The 21,963-nt window shown below is 39.0% G+C and overlaps 1 protein-coding gene across 4 annotated transcripts in view; it reads left to right on the top strand.

Annotated features, from left to right (window-relative positions):
- The window catches only part of SEC23A (SEC23 homolog A, COPII component), a 71,317-nt gene that overhangs the window by 5,106 nt on the left and 44,248 nt on the right, over nucleotides 1–21,963 (top strand). For all 4 annotated transcript variants that reach the window (NM_006364.4, XM_005267262.2, XM_011536355.4 and 1 more), the window contains exons 2-7: nucleotides 1,991–2,232; nucleotides 4,886–4,943; nucleotides 5,503–5,589; nucleotides 6,417–6,653; nucleotides 11,122–11,201; nucleotides 12,224–12,368. In NM_006364.4, the coding sequence (NP_006355.2) occupies nucleotides 2,012–2,232; nucleotides 4,886–4,943; nucleotides 5,503–5,589; nucleotides 6,417–6,653; nucleotides 11,122–11,201; nucleotides 12,224–12,368 (828 nt within the window). In that variant the 5' untranslated portion in view covers nucleotides 1,991–2,011. The remainder of the gene's footprint in view (nucleotides 1–1,990; nucleotides 2,233–4,885; nucleotides 4,944–5,502; nucleotides 5,590–6,416; nucleotides 6,654–11,121; nucleotides 11,202–12,223; nucleotides 12,369–21,963) is intronic.

Genomic DNA, 21,963 nt, shown 5'->3' with positions numbered 1-21,963 from the left:
CCTTCTATATTTACCTTCAAAATAGTTTTGTTTTTTTTTTTGAGATGGAGTCTTGTTCTGTCGCCCAGGCTGGAGTGCAGTGGTGCAATCTCAGCTCACCACAACCTCTGCCCCCCCAGTTCAAGCGATTCTCCTGCCTCAGCCTCCTGAGTAGCTGGGATTACAGGTGCATGCCACCCTGCCCAGCTAATTTTTTTGTGTGTTTTTAGTAGAGACGGGGTTTTGCCATGTTGACCAGGCTGGTCTTGAACTCCTGATCTCAGGTGATCCACCTGCCTCAGCCTCCCAAAGTGCTGGGATTACAGGCTTGAGCCACTGCACCCGGCCCAAAATAGTCTTTTCTAAACAAGTTTAGTCTTGGGATTTCTCTTTACCCTTTATGCACCTTTGAAAAACCACAATCTTTTTTGATTAGCGTAAGATTTTCTAGCTGTCTCCAAGATTCTGGCACAATTGGAGGAAATACAGTGTTTTCTTTAATTTTTATTTTCTTATTTAAAGAAGAGAAAGTTCTTAACTGCTTGGAATGCTTAGATTTGTTAAGCTTCACTTTCTGCCATTTGTTTTATGAAAATTTATTTGAAAGATTTTCTAAAATTAAAATTGTTATATCTAACTTTTTCCCCCCAAATAATATCTCTTCTTTCTTCACTTAAATTTTAGAATCAGCTTCTTGTCCCACTATTGCTCTTAGCAACTTTAAACATCCATGTTGGGTTTTCCAGGCACCCTAGGTTCACAGTTCACTTCTTTCAACTTGACGTCCTTCCTGTCTGCTGCATAACACTTGAATGTCTTTGTCCTCCCACACCTTTAAATTCTTCAGCTTCCTTCCATGACTAACTACTGTTGCAGTTTGAGAGCATGAGATAGAGCTGTTGCCTACGTAGGAAAGCCGGCATCCTACCTAGGCATTTAGACAGTAAAAATGGAGCTGTCTTTTGATACTGGTCCCTCCCCAGAGTGCATCCTCTTCCCTTGGTTAGTAAACTTAAATTATTATACTGAAATTTTATATCTCAAATTGGAGTTTAAAATGCTCTCATAATTTGGAATGTTCAAAATATTCTGAAGTAAGTTTCTGCAAAAGAGTCTAAATGATATATAAATTGGGGGAACAGCACTTATCAAGCATTTTATTTATTGTGCCACAAATAGCCTGTACTTGCACAATAAGAAAATTACCTGTCCAAAGCAGAAGTGTCCAGTTTTAGGAAAATCTTTTTGTTACATACCATTAAACATTCTCTTCTGTAAAGTTTAGTGGAAACTTGTTATTTTTCAGATAGAAACCATGTGAGTTTTAGAACTTTATAATTTTGAAATCTGTTTATATGAATTCTTATAATTTTCAAAACTGATATGGAAAACATAGGATCTAGGTTTTCCCCCTATTTTTGCATTTCTTTCCTATATATCCTTAAAGAAATAAGACACTATTTTTTGCCATCATCTTTTAGAGTGAATAAAAAAGTGTTAAATACCTCTTATTGGGCCTTGTGAACATTGGGTAGAGCCATTAATTATTTTGTTATGAGTTGCTTGCTAATTTTTTTCTGAGATAAATATTTTCATTTGGTCCTGATTTTTTTTTTTTTTGAGATGGAGTTTTGCTCTTGTTGCCCAGGCTGGAGTGCAACGGAATGATCTCGGCTCACCACAAACTTTGCCTCCAGGGTTCAAGAGATTCTCCTGCCTCAGCCTCCTGAGTAGCTGGGATTACAGGCATACGCCACCATGCCTGGCTAATTTTGTATTTTTAGTAGAGACGGGGTTTCTTCGTGTTGGTCAGGCTGGTCTCGAACTCCCGACCTCAGGTGATCCGCCTGTCTCGGCCTCCCAAAGTGCTGGGATTACCGGCGTGAGCCACGGGGCCCAGCTGGTCCTGATTTCTAAGGTGTTAATATTGCTGAATGAGGGGAGAACATTCATATTTTGAACGTTCTTAAGAGGATCCTGGATTTTAAAATATTTTAAAATTTTGATACAGAAATAAGAATCAAACTCCACAATGACAACCTATTTGGAATTCATTCAACAAAATGAAGAACGAGATGGAGTCCGATTTAGTTGGAATGTTTGGCCATCAAGTCGACTGGAAGCTACAAGAATGGTTGTTCCTGTGGCAGCCCTGTTTACACCACTGAAAGAGAGACCTGACTTACCACCTATTCAATATGAACCTGTTCTGTGTAGTAGGACCACTTGCCGTGCAGTTTTGAATCCTTTATGGTAAGTAAAATATATAGAAAAACTAATGTGGCAATGTGATTTTAAAATGTCGGGGTTTTTCTGCATATTTTTATAAAAATCCCTTTGTTTTTGTTCATACTAATTTTTTCAAATTAGGACAGTCAAAACAATCCAGAGAGCTGTAAAATTTTAGGATCATTCTAGTTGTACTGAGTTGGTAATATAAAGAGACCAAATGTAAAAGTGGCACTATAAAAACTGTTAGATTCCATCAGTGTCTTCTGAATAGTGGTGCTGGATGTGTATCAACCCATCTTGCATCATTAGATAAGTCATAATTGGCCGGGCGTGGTGGCTCATGCCTGTAATCCCAGCACTTTGGGAGGCCGAGGTGGTGGATCACCTGAAGTCAGGAGTTCGAGACCAGCCTGACGAACATGGTGGAACCCCGTCTCTACTAAAAATACAAAACTTAGCTGGGGTGTGGTGGCATGTGCCTGTAGTCCCAGCTACTCGGGAGGCTGAGACAGGAGAATTGCTTGAACCTGAGAGATGGAGGTTGCAGTGAGCTGAGATCGTGCCTCTGTACTCCAACTCTGGGTGACAGAGCGAGACTCCGCCTCAAAAAAAAAAAAAAAGTTGTGATTGAGTGACATGATGTTCCAAAAATGTTGTGATTTCTGTTGCTGAAGCCAAAATCTCAGGAATCATCTCTTACTTCTCTTTCCATTCCCTCTCCCCCCAGCCAATCCACTAGCAAATCTGGGTGATCTACCTCTAGAACATTATAGATTCTGTCTCTTACAGCCTCTTATTCCATCTCTGGTAGTATACCCTGCTTCAAGATACCACAGTCTTTTTCCTGGGCAATTTCAATATCCTCCTACCTGCTCTCCCTGTTTCTATTCTTGTCTTTCAGCAGTCTGTTCTCTACCCAGAAGCTAGAGTTTTATGAATGAAAATCAGATGATGAACATCTTCCAGTAGTAGCTTCTTATTCTTGGAATGAGAAATACAAACTCCTTATCAAGATCTATAAAGCCTTGTATGATCTAGCCTCTGTATATATTTCTGCCTTCATCTTGTGTTATCCATTTTCCTTATTCTCATCTACATAATACCTTAACCCTGTTACCCTCTTTCTGATTCTTGAACATACCAAACTTACTCCTACCTTGACAATGGTATAGTAGCTGTGCATTCTGCCCGGATTCTTCTGTCTCCATATTTTCGTATGATTGCTTCCTTTTCATTCTGATCATACTTTAGTTGTCTATTTAAGAAGGCTGTTTTTTAAAGCAGCCCTCTTAAACACATTCTCACATTCTGCTTTGTTTTCTTTAATCTCTGTTATTACAATGTAAAAGTATTTTTGGCTGGGTGCAGTAGCTCACGCCTGTAATCCCAGTGCTTTGGGAGGCCAAGGTGGGAGGATTGCCTGGGCAGCAAAGCAAGACTCCATTTCTACAGGAGGGGAAAAAAAAAAAAAAAAAATATATATATATATATATATATATATATATATATATATATATATATGTGTGTGTGTGTGTGTGTGTGTGTATATATATATGTATATGTGTATATATGCATATATATGTGTATATGTGTATATATGCATATATATGTATATGTGTATATATGCATATATATGTGTATATGTGTATATATGCATATATATGTATATGTGTATATATGCATATATATATATGTATGTGTATATATGCATATATATATATGTATATGTATATGCTGGGTGTGGTGGTATGTGTCTGTAGTCCTAGCTACTTGGGAGGCTGAAGATGGGAGAAACACTTGAGCCAGGAGTTCAATGCTGCAGGGAGCTATGATTCTACCATTGCACTGCAGCATGGGCAATAGAACGAGACCCTGTCTCAAAAAAAACACCAAAAGTATTTTCTTGTTTGTGCATCTGCTTGTCTTTTGTCTGTTTTTTCTAGAATGTAAACTCCATGAGAGCAGTTCTCTTTTTCTTGTATCACCAGCGCCTAAAATAGTGGTTGGTACTTATTAGGCATTCAGTAAATATATTTTTGACCTGAATAAATGTTTTCTAGGTCTGAGTGTAGATGTTACTGAAGTCACTTGAAGAAAAAAATAGGATTATTTTAATTTTATTGATATTTGCTGTATATATGTGTGCATATATATATTTTTGAGATGGTTTCACTCTGTCACTTAGATTGGAGGGCAGTGTTGTGATTGTGGCTCACTGTATCTTTGACCACCTGGGCTCAGATGATCCTCTCACCTAAGCCTCCTAAGTAACTGGGAGTGCAGGCATGTGCCACCACGCCTGGATGATTCTTTGTATTTTTTGTGAAGACTGGGTTTCACCATATTGCCCAAGCTGGTCTTGAACTCCTGGACTCAAGCCATCTGCCGCCTCAGGCCTCCCAAAGTGCTGAGATTACAGGCGTGACCTACTGCACCCAGCCAATATTTACTATATGTTAAAAGTTATATTCACCATTTAGGTAAACTTGTATATGTTAAAAGTGTGAATTAGATATTGGCAGTATCTAAAACTACATGGCTTTTAAAAGTTACTTTGACTATCAATTTGAATATGTTCATGTTTTAGGAAGAAATTAATTTTATTGAAATTAGGATTTTTGTAAAATTGAACTGAAATATGAACTGATATGTCTTTTCTTTTTTTTTAAAACAGTCAAGTGGATTATCGAGCAAAACTTTGGGCTTGCAACTTTTGTTACCAAAGGAATCAGGTAAGAAAACATCCATTGCATGCCGGGCGCAGTGGCTCATGCCTGTAATCCCAGCACTTTGGGAGGCCGAGGCGGGTGGATCACGAGGTCAGGAGATTGAGACCATCCTGGCTAACACAGTGAAACCCCGTCTCTACTAAAAATACAAAAAAAAAATTAGCTGGGCGTGGTGGCAGGCGCCTGTAGTCCCAGCTACTCGTGAGGCTGAGGCAGGAGAATGGCATGAACCCGGGAGGTGGAGCTTGCAGTGAGCCGAGATTGCACCACTCTACTCCAGCCTGGGCAACAGAGCAAGACTCCGTCTCAAAAACAAACAAACAAAACAAACAAACAAACAAATGAAAAAAAACCCATAAAACATCCATTGCAGATGTTAATGCCAAAATACTAGTCATGTAGAAAAATGCATATTTAAAAAAAGATACAAATAATTATTTCTCATTTAATGAAAATGCCTTTTTAAAAATAATTAAATGATCAGGAAATACTTTGTTTAAAATTTTATTAATCTTTCTAGCCTATAATTTGTTAAAAATTTTTGTTTGTTTTCTATTTGTAGTTTCCACCTAGTTATGCTGGTATATCTGAACTGAATCAGCCTGCTGAACTTTTACCTCAGTTTTCTAGCATTGAATATGTAGTTCTGGTAAGAACCTAAGAACAAATATTTAAGAAAGTTTTAAAATTTATACTGAAAGAATTGTTAAATTATGATGATTTAGAAGGAATCATGCTTAATTCTCACATTGATTTGATGGAACATTTCAAAGGTAAGAACTGTTGAGGTCAGTTTGAGCAGGGTAATTCCTATGTTGTACTTATTTGATGGGTGGCCAAGATACTGGGTAGGGTGGTGTGATTTGCTATACTGAGTAGATCAGTAAACAATAAAGTATAAATCTTGCTTTGTAGTTGGAAGGTCAGTTAACAAATATTTAGTCAATATGATGCTGGAGTTGGCTAATGTATCCCCCAGGTCTAATTAATGAAAATAATCTTGCATTGGTCTTTAGGAAAATCATTTTTATTCTCTTTCTGAATACTTAACCATAGTTGTTTACATGTTTTACTGTGGAAGTAATATCTTTTATGAATGTTTTAGAGAAAACAATTATGGTTCACTTGGACCATTCAGTAATTTGTCCAGCCTGGCTAGTTTCTAGTTATCTGAAAATCCAAGTCAGGTTTACTAATTATTTTAAAAGAGTCAAATGAAACCTTATGCATGTAGTTAAATAAAATGGAAAGTGAAAGTCCCCTCTGTGTAACTATACCTCATGTTCTTAAACTTAATTTTTCACCTGATGATATGTCTTAGATCTCTCTCCATGACAGTAGAAATAACCTGTTTCATTTCTGAAATGGCTTTACTAGGATTCTTTTGTATTCGTTATTTAATTAGTTCCCTGTTGACTGTCTTGTATGCTGTGCTTTAAACTACATATTTTTTCTTTTTGGTGAATTTTTTAAAAGCGTGGTCCTCAGATGCCTTTGATATTCCTCTATGTGGTTGATACTTGCATGGAAGATGAAGATTTACAAGCCCTGAAAGAATCCATGCAGATGTCATTAAGTCTTTTACCACCTACAGCTTTGGTTGGACTTATTACTTTTGGGAGAATGGTTCAGGTTCATGAACTTGGATGTGAAGGCATTTCAAAAAGCTATGTCTTCAGAGGAACAAAAGATTTGTCTGCCAAACAACTGCAGGTAAACAACAAGAATGGTAGTTTTTACCTATCTGAAAATTACTCTATATATGTTTATAAATGCCTTCTGTATGTTTCTAGGACAAATTTTTATTATGAATAACTAATATAATTGTATTATAACAAAGGCTTTAAATTCAGTGCTGGCTTCAGTTTTCTTTTCATGTGCCTTAAATTGTTATACAGATTAAACACCCTTCACTTTTAACTATATCTTTAAAATTTAAAGTCAAACCAACAGTATTTTACTAGAGATTTGAAGGGCTTATGAAGAGTCATGCTGAAGGCTAAGAGAGAGCAACTGCAGAATATTAGCTTGTTTCTTTTTTTTTTCTTAAGAGTTCAGCTTTTTTATTGAACATGTTATAAAAGAGGTTTAGTCAAAAAGACCAAAGTCCATGTCATCATCATACTCCTCAGGTTCTTCTTTCTTTGTTTCCACTTTCTTTTCCTCAGCTGGGGCAGCAGTGGTGGTGGGGGCAGGACCTTCTGCAGGTGCAGCACCAACTGTTGGAGCAGGTCCACCAGCCCCTACATTGCAGATGAAGCTCCTGATGTTGACATTGGCCAGTCCTTTGCAAACAAATCAGGCCAGAAAGGTTCAACATTTATATCAGCTGCTTTAACAAGGGCATTGATCTAATCCACTGTGATGGTCACCTCATTGTCGTGCAGAATGAGGTCCAAGGAGATACAGAAGAACTTGAGATGGAGGCCATGATGTGGGCGAGTGCAGGGCTGGTGCTGCCTGACATGGTGCTAGTCACCTGATGAAGTGAGGGTCTCACCCCAGTGTGGTCTTGGCTTCCTCATAAGAACCGAGAACCTTGGTGGCAGCTGAGGAGAGAGCTTTTATTTCTTAACATTTCACTTAAGAACTAAATACTTTTAGTATGTTTGGTGAGGGAAGTTATTTTGAGACTGGACGATTTTTAGTGTAGGAACTATGGTTACATATGTTTTTTAGTGGTTTTTATCACTGGGACAAATTGAAGCTTTCTCTTCCAAGGCAAAGGAGTTATGTGTAGCATACTAGGATCATCTGCTCAGATGAACATCTTTTTTTCTGCCCAGAGATTTTGATAGTCCATAAGAGAGTAATAAGTGAATGTCTGTTTGTATTGGGGGATAGTTGGTATATATACCTTATATATATAATATAAGATTGTTCATGTAGGTACTTTGAAAAAACTTTCTAAGTAATTCTGGTGCAACTCCTAGTTGAGAACATTTACCCTAGAAGATGATAGATAAGCCTGGCATAAAGTTGACAGATGTAAAATCAGACTTTAGAGGCTTCCAGGTAGACCAAAATGAAGAAGAAAGGAAGAGATTTTTGAGGGTGAGTCTAATTTGAAACTTGGCAGACTGAGGTAGTGGTGCTGCAGTTAACTAAGAGAACATACTAGGGGAATTTGCAGGTTTAAATGGGGAGGATAATGAGTAATGAATGCGTTAGTCAATGAATAGTGAATAAGATTTGAGAAGGTAGAGAAAGTTGAAATTTGTTCTTTTTCTTCTGAGACAAGAGTCTCGCTCTGTCACCCAGGCTGGACTGCATTGGCACAATCTTGGCTCACTGCAACCTCCGCCTCCCGGGTTCAAGCTATTCTCCTGCCTCAGCCTCTCGAGTAGCTGGGACTACTGGCACCCGCCATCATGCCCAGCTAATTTTGGTATTTTTGTAGAGACGTGGTTTCACTATGTTGGCCAGGCTGGTCTTGAACTCCTGACCTCAGGATATCCACCTTCCTCGGCCTCCCAGAGTGCTGGGACTACAGGAGTGAGCCACCGTGCTCGGCCTGAAGTTTGTTCTTTTAAGAGGTTTGTTGAAGGTAATGAAGGAGGAGATAGCATGGGAATTTGAGAGAGAACTGAGTTAAAGAGATGTACTTTAGGAGGAAGGAGAAAGGAAAGAGACTAAAGAGGGTGAGTTAAAGCAAGAGTGAGATGAGGAAAGTCAGGTTTAGGAAGACATAGTAGGGATTCCTTCAGGAGCACAGGAAGCGGAGTACCTTAGAGAGGAGAATCATGTTTCCATGAGACAGGAGAGAAAGTGAACCAGTTGAAATCTCTGTGCTTTAGTTTTTTTCAATTGTAAAATAGAGATAGTAATAGTATATACCTTATAGTGTAGTCATGAGAATTAAATGAATTGTACATTTAAGCATTTGCTACTATTAATGTTATTATTAAATTATGAATTTATTTAGAATAGTTTACTGTTCTGATTGTAGAGTACCTTTTACTTATATAATGCATATGAAGCACATAAAACATCTTCCTTTTTTTTTCTTTTTTTTTTTTTTTTTGACACGGAGTCTTGCTCTGTCACCCAGGCTGGAGTGCAGTGGCATGATCTTGCAATCTCCGCCTCCTTAGTTCGAGCGATTCTCCTGCCTCAGCCTCCCGAGTAGCTGGGACTACAGGCGCATGCCACCACACCCGGCTAATTTTTTTTTTCTGTATTTTTAGTAGAGACCGGGTTTCACCATGTTGGCCAGGATGGTCTTGATCTCCTGACCTCGTGATCTGCCTGCTTTGGCCTCCCAAAGTGCTGGGATTACAGGCGTGAGCCACCGCGCCTGGCCAATTTTTGTATTTTTTAGTAGAGACAAGGTTTCACCATGTTAGCCAGGCTGCTTGAATTCCTGAGCTCAGGTGATCCCCCTGCCTCAGCCTCCCAAAGTGCTGGGATTACAGGTGTGAGCCACTGAGGCCGGCCTAGTTTTTTTTTGTTTGTCTGAGACAGAGTCTCGCTCTGTCACCCGGGCTGGAGTGCGGTGGCACGATCTCAGCTCACTGCAACCTCTGCCTCTTGGGTTCAAGCGCTTCTCTTGCCTCAGCCTCCCAAGTAGCTGGGATTACAGGAGCATACCACCATGCCTTACTAATTTTTGTATTTTTAGTAGAGTTGGTGCTTCACCATGTTAGCCAAGGTTGGTCTTGAACTTCTGACCTTGTGATTTGCCCACCTTGACCTCCCAAAGTGCTGGGATTACAGGCATGATCCACCGCACCTGGCCCTAATTTTTGTATTTTTAGTAGACATGGGGTTTCACCATGTTGGCCAGGCTGGTCTTGAACTCCTGACCTCAGGTGATCCACCCGCCTCGGCCTCCCAAAATACTGGGATTACAGCTGTGATTCACTGCGCCTGGCCACATCTTCCTTTTTTCAATAGGCAAGTGAATGCCTGCAGACTGAATTTTTTTTCTCCATTGAAACATGTTTATTTTCTTTCCCTATTTAGATTAAATTTCCCTATTCTTTCCCTATTATTAGTTGAAAAGAGCCTGGCCTTTGCTCCCCAGATAGTCCTGGATTCAAATCTTAAACTCTTCTGGTTGTATGATCCTGGGTTTTTGTCTTTGCTGATTGTGTCATCCTTCATAGAAAGGAATAAACTACCTATTTTGCCAGGTTATTAGTACTAAATATGAAATTCTCAATATGGTGTAAACCCTTATAGAGCTTTATAGAAAAACCTGGATTTAAAATCTTGCTTTGTTACTTACTGATTGTGTAACCTCAGACAAATTACTTAGTCTTTCTGATTGTCAATTTTCATTTATAAAGTAGAATTTAAGAAGAAATCTATTTCATTATTGTTTTGTGAGGAAATAGTATATATAAAGGTTTTAGCATAGAATATGGAACATATTAAGTTCTTAGTAAAGAGTTGCTGTTTCTGCTAACAGTATAGGAAATATTGCAGGATTAGTTCACTAATTTTATCTTTGTACATCTTTAGACTTCAGTTTTCTGTTACACAGTTTTATAACTCCAGTACTTCATGACTAAGCATTTCTAGATTCAAGAAAAATTTAGTATAACATTATTTTCATTTGTCTAGAGAGAAATTGTGCACATATCTGAAATTCAAAACAAAGGTGGCAGTTCGTAGTTTGGTTATGAATTACATTAGAAAATCAAGATGTATATAGGTACAAAGTACGTGAGCCTTATAACTCCCCAAGTCCTAACATTTACTACTGTTGCAATTTTACATTTATTTATCTGTTGATTTGATTAATTTATGTTTCTGGATTTTAATTTCCATGAGGGAAGGGACTAGTTAGTTTTTACCATTGTATTCCTGCCACATAGCAGGTGCTTATGATATAGTTTGCTGAAACGGATGAATGAATATAAATTAAGAAGTATGGACATTTAAGTTACACAACAATTTATTTTGACTGTTAATTAGAAATAAAGTGTTTTTGAGCTAATATGCCTCCTCTTTGGTTATATAACACCTTGTGCTTTTCTCTCTCATGATGATTATTTTGTGTTATTGTTTTCTTGATAATCTCTCCCACTGGATTCTTTGTTTTCTGAGGAAGGAGACCTTGTATTTTTTATTTTTGTGTTTCTAATGTCTAGCACAGCATTTTATACATGATAAATAGTTGATAAATCTTTGTAAAAGTAATTAAATGAATATTGCACAAGTAATCTCTTTACAGGAAATGCTGGGGCTCTCTAAAGTACCACTTACTCAAGCAACACGTGGTCCTCAGGTACAGCAGCCACCTCCTTCCAACAGGTAATAAATATGATGAAGAGAATTTGACCGTTTCTGTAGCTATTTTAAACATTCCATACCCTTGAACATAGGCATTCAGTGATACTATATTGTTAAATATTTTTAGGAATATAAGTAAATTGTATTAACATACTTTTTAAAGAATTGAGTCAAAATCATGTCATTAAAATGGTTTGTTTTTTGTCTTAACAATGTAAGGAGTTACTTTAGTTTTGTTATTTTCCTTATTTTTTATTTTGAACTTTGGAAAAAACTTGTTTTTGTGTGGTTTTAGGGCAGCCAAGGTTTTTATTTTTTCTTCTTAGCTTTAGAGGTAGCTTTTCCCGCTAAGGTTTCTGGAGTGCAGTGGCATGATCTTGGCTCACTACAACTTCCGCCTCCCAGGTTCAAACAATTCTCCTGCCTCAGCCTCCCAAGTAGCTGGGATTACAGGCATGCACCACCATGCCTGGCTAATTTTTGTATTTTTTGTAGAGACGGGGTTTCACCATCCCAATCTCCTGACTTTATGATCCTCCCTCCTCGGCCTCCCAAAGTGCTGGGATTACAGGTGTGAGCCACCGCGCCCTGCTAGCTTTTTCCCCTAAGCTTTCTAATCAGAGGTAGTATTACTAAAATTTAGTTGATGTATTTTCTCATAATTATTTCAGTAACCTAAAACTTACTAGACTAGTGAGAGATGAAATCCTGAAGTACTTGGTTTGAGTGTTTCGTTTATTGTGGTTGTATTCAAAATGTGGTTTCTGGGGCTGTTATCATCACGTGTCACCTAGGAATGCGTTTGAAATGCAAATTCTTCGGCTCCACTCCAGACCTACCGAAACAAACTCTAGAACTGGGACCTAGCAATATGTGTTAAAACAAGCCCTCCAGCTGGTTCTCATATACACGAAAGTTTGAGAACCATTGGTCTGCTGTGTGTTCAGAGTGTTGTTTTCTATTTTTAGGAAAGTGAAATTTGTTTATCGAACTCTCACCCATAAACATTTACAAATGGCTTTTTATTTAATTCTGTTTCTTAGATTCTTACAACCAGTACAGAAAATAGACATGAATCTCACAGATCTTCTGGGAGAACTCCAGCGAGACCCTTGGCCTGTACCACAGGGAAAGAGACCTTTGCGTTCCTCTGGGGTGGCACTTTCCATAGCTGTAGGACTGCTGGAGGTAGGGAAGATGGTTTTGTTTTGGAATGTAAAGTGTGTGTGTGTGTGTGTGTGTGTGTGTGTGTGTGTGTGTATATATAATTATAAGGATAAGAAGAACCAAAGTGCTTTTTTTCCTCCCTATTCTCTCACTCAGCATCAACAAAGAATACTTCTATGGTTTTCCCCCACATACCAACCAAGCAGTTCTGCCTTCGATACCACCTGGGTGTCCTGTAATTCAGTTCAATTCTGATACTATCTAACTGGAGATAACATCACATCTCACAGATTGAGGGCTCAGTCCCACAAGACTGCCCCCACTTAAGTGCCAGTCACATAGTAGGTTGTCACCTATACTTCTCTGATAGACTGGCTGTAAATTGGACACTCTTGGGTTTGATTAATTTGCTAGAATGGCTCACAGAACTCTAGGAAACACTTTATGTTTCTCGGTTTATGATAAAGATATTACGAAGACTATAGATGAACAGTCAGATGGACTAGATGCATAGAGTGAGGTGTGGGAGAAGGGGTTCCAAATTTCTGTGGCTTCTCTGGGGCACCACCCTCCAGGAACCTCCACATATTCATTTGTCTGGAAGCTCTCCAAACTGTGTTCTTTTGGCTTTTCATGAAGGCTCACTGCATAGGCATGATTGATTACATCACTGGCCATTATCCCCTCTCTCCTTCTGGAGGTTGGGGTGTGGAACTGAAAGTCTCAACCTTCTAATCAGGCTTTAGTCTTTTCAGTGACCAGCCCCCATCTTGAAGCTATCTAGGAGTCATTTTATTAACATACAAAAGGCACTCTTGGCTGGGCACCTCATGCCTGTAATCCCAGCACTTTGGGAGGCTGAGGTGGGCAGATCACCTGAGGTCTGGAGTTCGAGACTAGCACGGCCAATATGGCAAAACCCCATCTCTGCCAAAAATACAAAAATTAGCCAGGCGTGGTGGCGGGCGCCTGTACTCCCAGCTACTTGGGAGGCTGAAGCAGGGAGAATTGCTTGAACCCAAGAGGCGGAGGTTGCAGGGAGCTGAGATCGCATCACTGCACTCCAGCCTGGGTGACAGAGTGAGACTCCGTCTCAAAAAACAAAAACAAAAAACAAAAGGTACTCTTATCATTCTACAGAATCCAAGGCTTTTAGGAGCTGTGTGTCAGGAAAGGAGAGGAAAAAAATATATTCACAGTATTATAGGAAATGGTATGTATAAGATAATATTGAGTGAAAAAAAATCAGGTTATAGGACAGTGGGTGTATGATTTTATCTACGTGAAGTGTTTTCCTCCAGCATATTGTCTTGTGTATTGTTTTGTATATATCCTGTACAGACATGATTCTGGAAAGAAGTTCACCCAGATGTTAACAGTGATACAATAAGTGGAGTTTTAGTAGAATTTGAAAATTTTATGCTATACATATCTTAGCTTTAGAATTACAAAATAGTGGCTGGGTGCGGTGGTTCACGCCTGTAATCCCAGCACTTTGGGAGGCCGAGGTGGGTGGATCACGAGGTCAGGAGATCGAGACCATCCTAGCTAACATGGTGAAACCCTGTCTCTACTAAAAATACAAAAAAAAAAACTAGCCGGGCGTGGTGGCGCATGCCTGTAATCCCAGCTACTCGGGAGGCTGAGGCAGGAGAATCGCTTGAACCCGGAAGGTGGAGGTTGCAGTGAGCCGAGATCATGCCACTGCACTCCAGCCTGGGCAACAGAGAGAGACTCCATCTCAAAAACAAAACAAAACAAAATAGTTTTTAAAAATGTTTTTTAAAAAATTTGAAATGCTATCAAATTTACAGAAAAGATGCAAGAAGTGTATAAATAATTTTTTTCTCCAAACTATTTGAGATTGTGAACCCCAAATATCTGAGATAGTCTCAATTAATTTAGAAAGTTAATTTTGGGCTTGGCGTGTTGGCTCACGCCTGTAATCCCAGCATCGTGGGAGGCCGAGGTGGGTGGATCTCTTGAGGTCAGGAGTTCGAGACCAGCCTGAGCAACGTGGTGAAACCCTGTCTCTACTAAAAATACAAAAAAATTAGCCAGGTGTGGTGGCAGGCGCCTGTAGTCCCAGCTACTTGGGAGGCTGAAGCAGGAGAATCACCTGAACCTGGGAGGCAGAGGTTGCAGTGAGCCGGGATTGCACCACTGCACTCCAGTCTGGGTGACAGAGCGAGACTCCATCTCAAAAAAAAAAAAAAAAAGAAAGTTTATTTTGCCAAGGCTGAGGACACATGCCTCTGGAGGTCCTGATGACATGCGTCCAAGGTGGTCAGAGCACAGTTGGTTTTATAAATTTTCGGGAGACATGAGACATCAATCAACATATGTAAGATGTATGTTGGTTCCATCCAGATAGGTGGGACAGCTCAAGTAGGGAGGGGCTTCCAGGTCACAGATAGGTGAGAGACAGGTAGGTGAGAGACACAGGTAGGTGCATTCTTTTGAGTTTCTGATTAGCCTTTCCGAAGGAGCAATCAGATATGCGTTTATCTTACTGAGCAGAGGGATGACTTTGAATAGAATGGGAGGCAGGTTTGCCCGAAGCAGTTTCCAGCTTGACTTATCCCTTTAGTTTAATGATTTTGGGGTCCCAAGACTTACTTTCCTTTCACAAGATTAAGTTGCAGATATGATAGTCCCAACCCCTTGAAACTTTGTATTTCCTATGAACCAGGATAATCTCCTATATAACCACAATATAAAACTATTAAAATTAAAATGTTAACACTGATACATTACTACCAGCTAATTCTCAGACCCCATTCAAGTTTTACCAGTTGTCCCAATAATTTCCTTTACTGAAAGGATTTAGTTCAGTCCTGCATTTATGGCTATATCTATTTACCCTCCTTCATCCTGGAACAGTTCCTCAATCTTTCCTGATCTTTGGAAGATTCAGACCAGTTATTTGGTAAAATGTTCTTCAATTTGAGTTTGTCTTGAAGTATTCTCGTAATTTGATTCAGGTCTTGCATCTTTGGGAGGAATATCACAGAAGTAATGCTGTGTTCTTATTGTTACATTTTACAGGTGGCACATGGTTTTCATTTGTTCTGTTACTGATGATATTCACTTTGGTCATTCATTAAGGTAGTATCTGCCAGGGCTCTCCACTTTAAAATTACTCTTTTTTTACCCCTTTGTAATTAATAAACATTGCAAAATATTAGGAACCCCCATGTTGATTTATTTCATTACTGCTGATGTTAACTTTCCTTACTTGGTTAAGGTTGTTTTTGTCACTGTAAAGTTACAGGTTTTCCTATTGTAATTATAAATATCTTATTAGGAGATACCTTGAAAATATGTGAATAACCAGTGTACTCAGCAAACTTTTACCCACTAGTTTAGCATCCATTGATGATTCTTTTCTGATCAATTATTATTATGATGCATGCCAAATAGTGGCTTTCTAATTCCATCATTTCTACTTTTATTAATTGGCTTTCTACTTGAGGAAGAGCTTTCTCTCCTCTCCCATTTACGTATTTATATATATATAAATTTATATACACATATATATATGTAAATACATACAGAATACACACTGGGTGTATTCTTACATTCTTATTTTATACAACAAGATACATTCCTTTACTATCATAATTTACTTTGATGCTTAAGTTTTCCCCGATTTGGCTAGTGGGAGCCTCTTCAAGCTGCTTCTGGGTCCTTATTAAATGCCGCATGTTTGCTTAAATACTTCCTTTCTGGTATAGTAAGTTGTTCAGGGCTCATCTTATCCTTTTCCTGCTCTGGACCTGAAATGAAACCACTTAGGAGCCCTGTTTCCTTTTAGCCTTGGTTCTACCAAGAAGATAATGCTTCATGTGCACCCTTACCCTGGGTGTCATTAATTCTAGGTCCCAGCGGATGGAGCTAAGAAGAAGATGTATGTGCATATATATGTATCTATAGATGTATATAAAATCATAAGTATATGTGTGTGCATATATGTCTGCATACTCCAATATGCATCTATATCTCTATTAAAATAAAAAAAATTTTATATTAAAAACCAATGTTTCTTTCAGGTATGTTCAATTCAGTACCACAGGGTTTATTCTATCCTTCCCACTTTTCCATATTTGTAACTCATTCTCTATGAGAAACCTGCTCCCGTTATCAAATATATTTACTTATTTGCTCAGTCCTAGAATATATAGAATAGTTTCAGAGTTTCTAGCTCATACCTCTGTTAGAAAGAAGCTTAGGAGTTAGAGCCCAGTATTTGTTTAATGTTCTGAGAATATATAGTACAAAATATAATGTTCAAAAGTTAAGTGGGTTATTCCCCTCCACTGCCCTTAGTGTGATTATGTTATTCTTTGCTGTAAGTTTTATTTGTATCTTCTAGTAAATTTCTTAAGAAGACTTAAGAGTACAGAATTTCTTGGGCTGTTGAATGTTTAAACTTTTTTCCTGTGGTTCTGATAGTTGAAGAATAGCTTGGTTGGATATAAAAAGCTTTGGTTCTAATTTTTTTTTCCTGGAGGTTTTGGAAAATGCTTTTTCATTATTTTCTTACCTTGATGTGTGTGTGTTTTTTTTTTTTTTTAAACAGAGCCTCTGTTGCTCAGGCTGGAGTGCAGTACGTGATCATAGCTTACTGCAGCACTGCAACCTCAAACTCCTGGTCTCAAGCAGTCCTCCAGCCTCAGACTCCTCCCAAGTAGCTGGGACTATAGGCCCATGCCACTATGCCCAGCTACTTTTTAAATTTGTAGAGACAGAGTCTTGCCATGTTGCCCAGACAGGTCTCAAACTCCTGGTCTCAAGTGATCCTACCACCTTGGCTGATGTTTTTTGAGAAGGCTGATACCAGCCTTATTTTCTTGCCCTTGTAAATTATTTGATCATTTTGCTTCAAGGTCTTGAGGAATTTTTTTTTTATCTTGTAGGGTTTTTGTTGCAGGTTAATTTTCTCTAGTATGTGGTAGGCCCTCTTTATATGTATTTTTTCCTATAAAGTTGTCTTATAGTATTTTTTCCTATAAAGTTGTCTTATAGCTTTAAATAGTAGTTTTGTTCCATTGTTTTATTTTATTTAAGAACTCCCGGCCAGGCGCAGTGGCTCATGCCTGTAATCCCAGCACTTTGGGAGGCCGAGGCAGGCGGATTACCTGAAGTCAGGAGTTCGAGACCAGCCTGGCCAACGTGGTGAAATCTCATCTCTACTAAAAATACAAAAATTAGCCGGGGGCGGTGGCACACGCCTGTAATCCCAGCTACTTGGGAGGCTGAGGCAGGAGAATTGCTTGAACCCGTGGACAGAGGTTGCAGTGAGCCGAGATCATGTCACTGCACTCCAGCCTGGCCGACAGAGCAAGACTCTGTCTCAAAAGAAAAAAACAACTGCCGTTATATATAAATTGACTCTTCTTTGCTTGCTTTTTATTTCAGCCATCTTTTTATTTCTTTATTTCATTTTCATTCTCTTGGTTTTTTTCTTTTCTTTAGTGCCTCTTACCAAGTTTTCATTTGAATCTGTAGTCGTTCTTCTAGGCCTGCTGTTTGTTTCCCTCTTCTCTCTTCTGTGTACTTCTTCCCAAACTGCCCTTGATCTTTTTGGAGAATTGCAATGAGAGCATGAGAGATACAGTTCACGGGGATTTAGTGGCTTTTTTTTCCCTCCAGTTGTAGGAAATTTGAAGTTTGGATGTTCTTTGTGTCATAGTTTTATGAAAGTATCTGTATATAGTTTTATTTGCTCTTTTCTTCATTTTTTCAGCTTTACATGACTGCTATTATCTCAAATACCCAGAATGAAGAGAGTATTTTTGTTATTAGTTAAGAAAGTTATAGAAGTAATAATCATACCTTGTGAAAACATTCAAACAATATGCAATGGTATATACAAATAAGTAGAAGACAACTTTCCTTGTTCTCTAGATTTGTTAACCATATGATTTTATTTTATTTTATTTTATTTATTTATTTTTTAGATGGATTTTTGCTCTTGTTGCCCAGGCTGGAGTGCAGTGGTGCAATCTTAGCTCACTGCAACCTCCACCTCCTGGGTTTAAGCAATTCTCCTGCCTCAGCCTCCCAAGTAGCTGGGATTATAGGTACCCGCCACCCCGCCTGGCTAATTTTTTGTATTTTTAGTAGAGACAGGGTTTCACCATGCTTAGCCAGGCTGGTCTCGAACTCCTGACCTCAGGTGATCCGCCCACCTCATCCTCCCAAAGTGCTGGGATTACAGGTGTGAGCCACTGTGCCAGGCTAATCATATGACTTTAAAAATTATCATGAAGTTTATATCGTTTACATTCTGTTCTGAAGCTGTAGTGTAGGTTGAAAAATGTACTCTATTTTGTCCAATAACCACTTATAGAAATTAGAGATAAAATAGCCTTTCTAATATGACAATACAAATATTAATTGTGGAATAAAGTAGAGCGATTATACACAGAGAAGGATACTTTCATATGTAAAAGTCATAGGATATCTTTTACATTTTTTTCTAGATCCTGTCACTTCCTTTGGATCATACGCAGTTGCTCTTTTGTTTCTTATAAGTATTCTGAGTTCTTCTATATTCAAACATTAAAAAAAAATGGCCCTCTCATTTCATTGGTAGTTTGGGTGGCTATAGAATTCTAGTTTCAAAATAGTCTTCACTTGGAAATTCAAGTCATTCCTCTCTAGTTTTCTGACATAGACATACAGTTTATTGATGATAATTGGATGTAGTCTCGTTCTTTTTTTAGGAAACTTATTTTTTCACTAGACATTTTTAGAATATTCTCTTTAATTTTGGAGTTCTGAAATTTTGTTAGGCTGTATTTAGGTTTGATTTTTTCTTTCTTTAATTACGTTTGGTTTTGGTAGACCCTTTAATTCTGAAAAATATTGTCATTCTTCAGCTTAATTTATTTCTCTTTCTATTCTATATTTGTTACATTGATGCTGGACCTCTATATCTCTTTATATATTTATTTTTTTCCTCATATCTTTCTTTGCTCCTATTTATATGAGATTTCCTCAGCTTTGTTTCCCATATTTCTAGCTCAGCCTTCAGACATGCTTTTTGGCCCATCCATTGAGGTTTTAAAAATTTTCTTAATGCTTTTATTTCCAGAAACTTTTGAGAGTTGTCATGTTTGTTGTGATATCCATTGTAACATGTGCTTGGTTCTGTATCTCTCAGCCTCTAATTTTCATGCAAAGACCCTTCTCCAGGCAGATGGCCTGCTTTCTACAGAGAGTAGTTCTTAGGAATTGCTGATGGCAGAATCTGTCATCAGCTGCTGTATCTGGAGGTATAGATACACACTGTTTCTTCTTTGGTTCATTGCTGCTTTTTGTATTTTTTGACTCCAAATATGGAGCTTTTTGGGCATCCTCCTTTGGGAAGATCTGGGGCTTACTTTTGATATCTGTGATGTGTTTCGTTGATTCTTTTGATAATCCAGTACAATTTATTGTTTGAATTCCTCAAAATTTCTGATCTACTGCTTGCATTATTTCCTATCTTTAAATTTTATGTACTTTTTGTTTTTTTTTGAGACAAGAGTCTAGTTCTGTTGCCTAGGCTGGAGTGCAGTGGCATGATCATGGTTGACTGCAGCATCGAACTCCTGGGCTCAACCAATCCTCCCACCTCAGCCTCCTGAGAAGCTGGGACTATAGCATGTCCCATCATGCCCAACTGATTTTGTTATTTATTTATTTTTTTCAGACAAGGTCTCCCTTTGTTGCCCAGGCTGATCTTGAACTCCTGGGCTAAAGTGATTCTCCCACCTTGGACCCCCAAAATGATGAGATTAGAGGCATGAGCCACAGTGTCTGGCCTATTTATTTATTTTTAATTTTACTTTATTTTATTTTAGACAGTGTCTCACTCTGTCATCCTGGCTGGAGTACAGTGGTGTGATCTTGGCTCACTGCAACCTCCACCTCCTGGGTTCAAGCAATTCTCTTGCCTCAGCCTCCCAAGAAGCTGGGATTACAGGTGTGCACTACCACACCTGGCTAATTTTTGTATTTTTTTAAGTAGAGACAGGGTTTTGCCATGTTGGCCAGGCTAGTCTCGAACTCCTGGCCTCAAGTGATCCACCTAAAACAACTTTTCTCTTATTTCATTGACATCTTGTGAGGAAGGGGAAGTAGATTGGGGTATTCAATCCATTAACTTGGACTGGAAGTGTAAGTCATGCATACTTTTTTTTCTCTCTCTCTCTCTCTATCTTTGTCTCTCTTTCTCTTTCTTTCTTTTTTTTGACAGAGTCTTACCGTGTTGCCCAGGCTGGAGTGCAGTGGCACAATCTCGGCTCACTGCAACCTCCACCTCCCGGGTTCAAGCAATTCTCTGCCTCTGCCTCCCAAGTAGCTGGAATTACAGGCGCCCGCCACCATGCCCGGCTAATTTTTTGTATTTTTAGTAGAGATGGGTTTTCACCATATTGGCCAGGCTGGTCTTGAACTCCTGACCTTGTGATCCACCCGCTTCGGCCTCTGAAAGTGCTGGGATTACAGGTGTGAGTCACCGTGCCGGGCCTCTTTCTTTTTTTTTTTTTTTTTTTTTTTTTTTTGAGATGGAGTCTTGCTCCATTGCCCAGGCTAAGGTGCAGTGGTACAATCTTGGCTCACTGCAACCTCAACCTCCTGGGTCGAAGCAATTCTCCTGCCCCAGCTTCCTGAGTAGCTGGGACTACAAGCATGTGCCACCATGCCCAGCTAATTTTTATATTTTTAGTAGAGACAGGGTTTCAACCATGTTGGCCAGACTGGTTTCAAACTCTTGCCCTCAGGTGATCCACCCACCTCAGCCTCCCAAAGTGCTGGGATTACAGGCGTCAGCCACTGCGTCCAGCCTCTATTTTTTTTTTTTTTGAGACGGAGTCTCGCCTTGTTGCCCAGGCTGGAGTGCAGTGGCGTGATCTTGGCTCACTGCGACCTCCACCTCCCGCGTTCAAGCGATTCTCCTGCCTCAGCCTCCCGAGTAGGTGGGACTATAGGCGTCTGCCACCCTGCCCGGCTAATTTTTTGTATTTTTAGTAGAGATGGGATTTCACCATGTTGACCAGGCTGGTCTTGAACTCCTGACCTCAGGTGACCCACCCGCCTCAGCCTCCCAAAGTGCTGGGATTACAAGTGCGAGCCACCACGCCTGGCCTTTTTTTTTGTTGTTCTATGATACTTGTGTTCTAAACATCAAAAACAAAAGTAAAACACCAACAAAAAAATAGAAGAGCCAGGTGCAGTGGCGTGTGCTTCTCATTCCAGCTACTTGGAAAGCTCAAGTGGGAGGATCACTTGAGCCCAGGAGTTAAAGTCCAGCACTGGCAACATGGTGAGACCTTGTCTCTAAAAAAAAAAAAAAAAAAATTAAAAACCCAAAACAAAACAAAAGAAGATGTTCACTCTTCCACTTTTCTCTCCACTCTTCCCTGTCTGAGATGAGTTAAGCAGGAGAAATATCCATGTTTATAGGGATTAGGCTCATAGATTAGTTTAGAATTAGGAATGTGCTACTATATACCATAGGATTTTAAAAGAAAGTTGTTCAGATACCTTTGTTTTTAAATTTCATTGTAAACATTTGATTATTTTATTTCTTAGAAAATATATGCTTTTCTCTTATTTAGAAGGA

The sequence above is a fragment of the Homo sapiens genome, chromosome 14 (genome assembly GCF_000001405.40).
Source record: "Homo sapiens chromosome 14, GRCh38.p14 Primary Assembly".
Classification (NCBI taxonomy): Eukaryota; Metazoa; Chordata; class Mammalia; order Primates; family Hominidae; genus Homo; species Homo sapiens.
The sequence above is the reverse complement of the archived record's forward strand: the minus strand, read 5'-3'. Positions and strand labels throughout refer to the sequence as shown.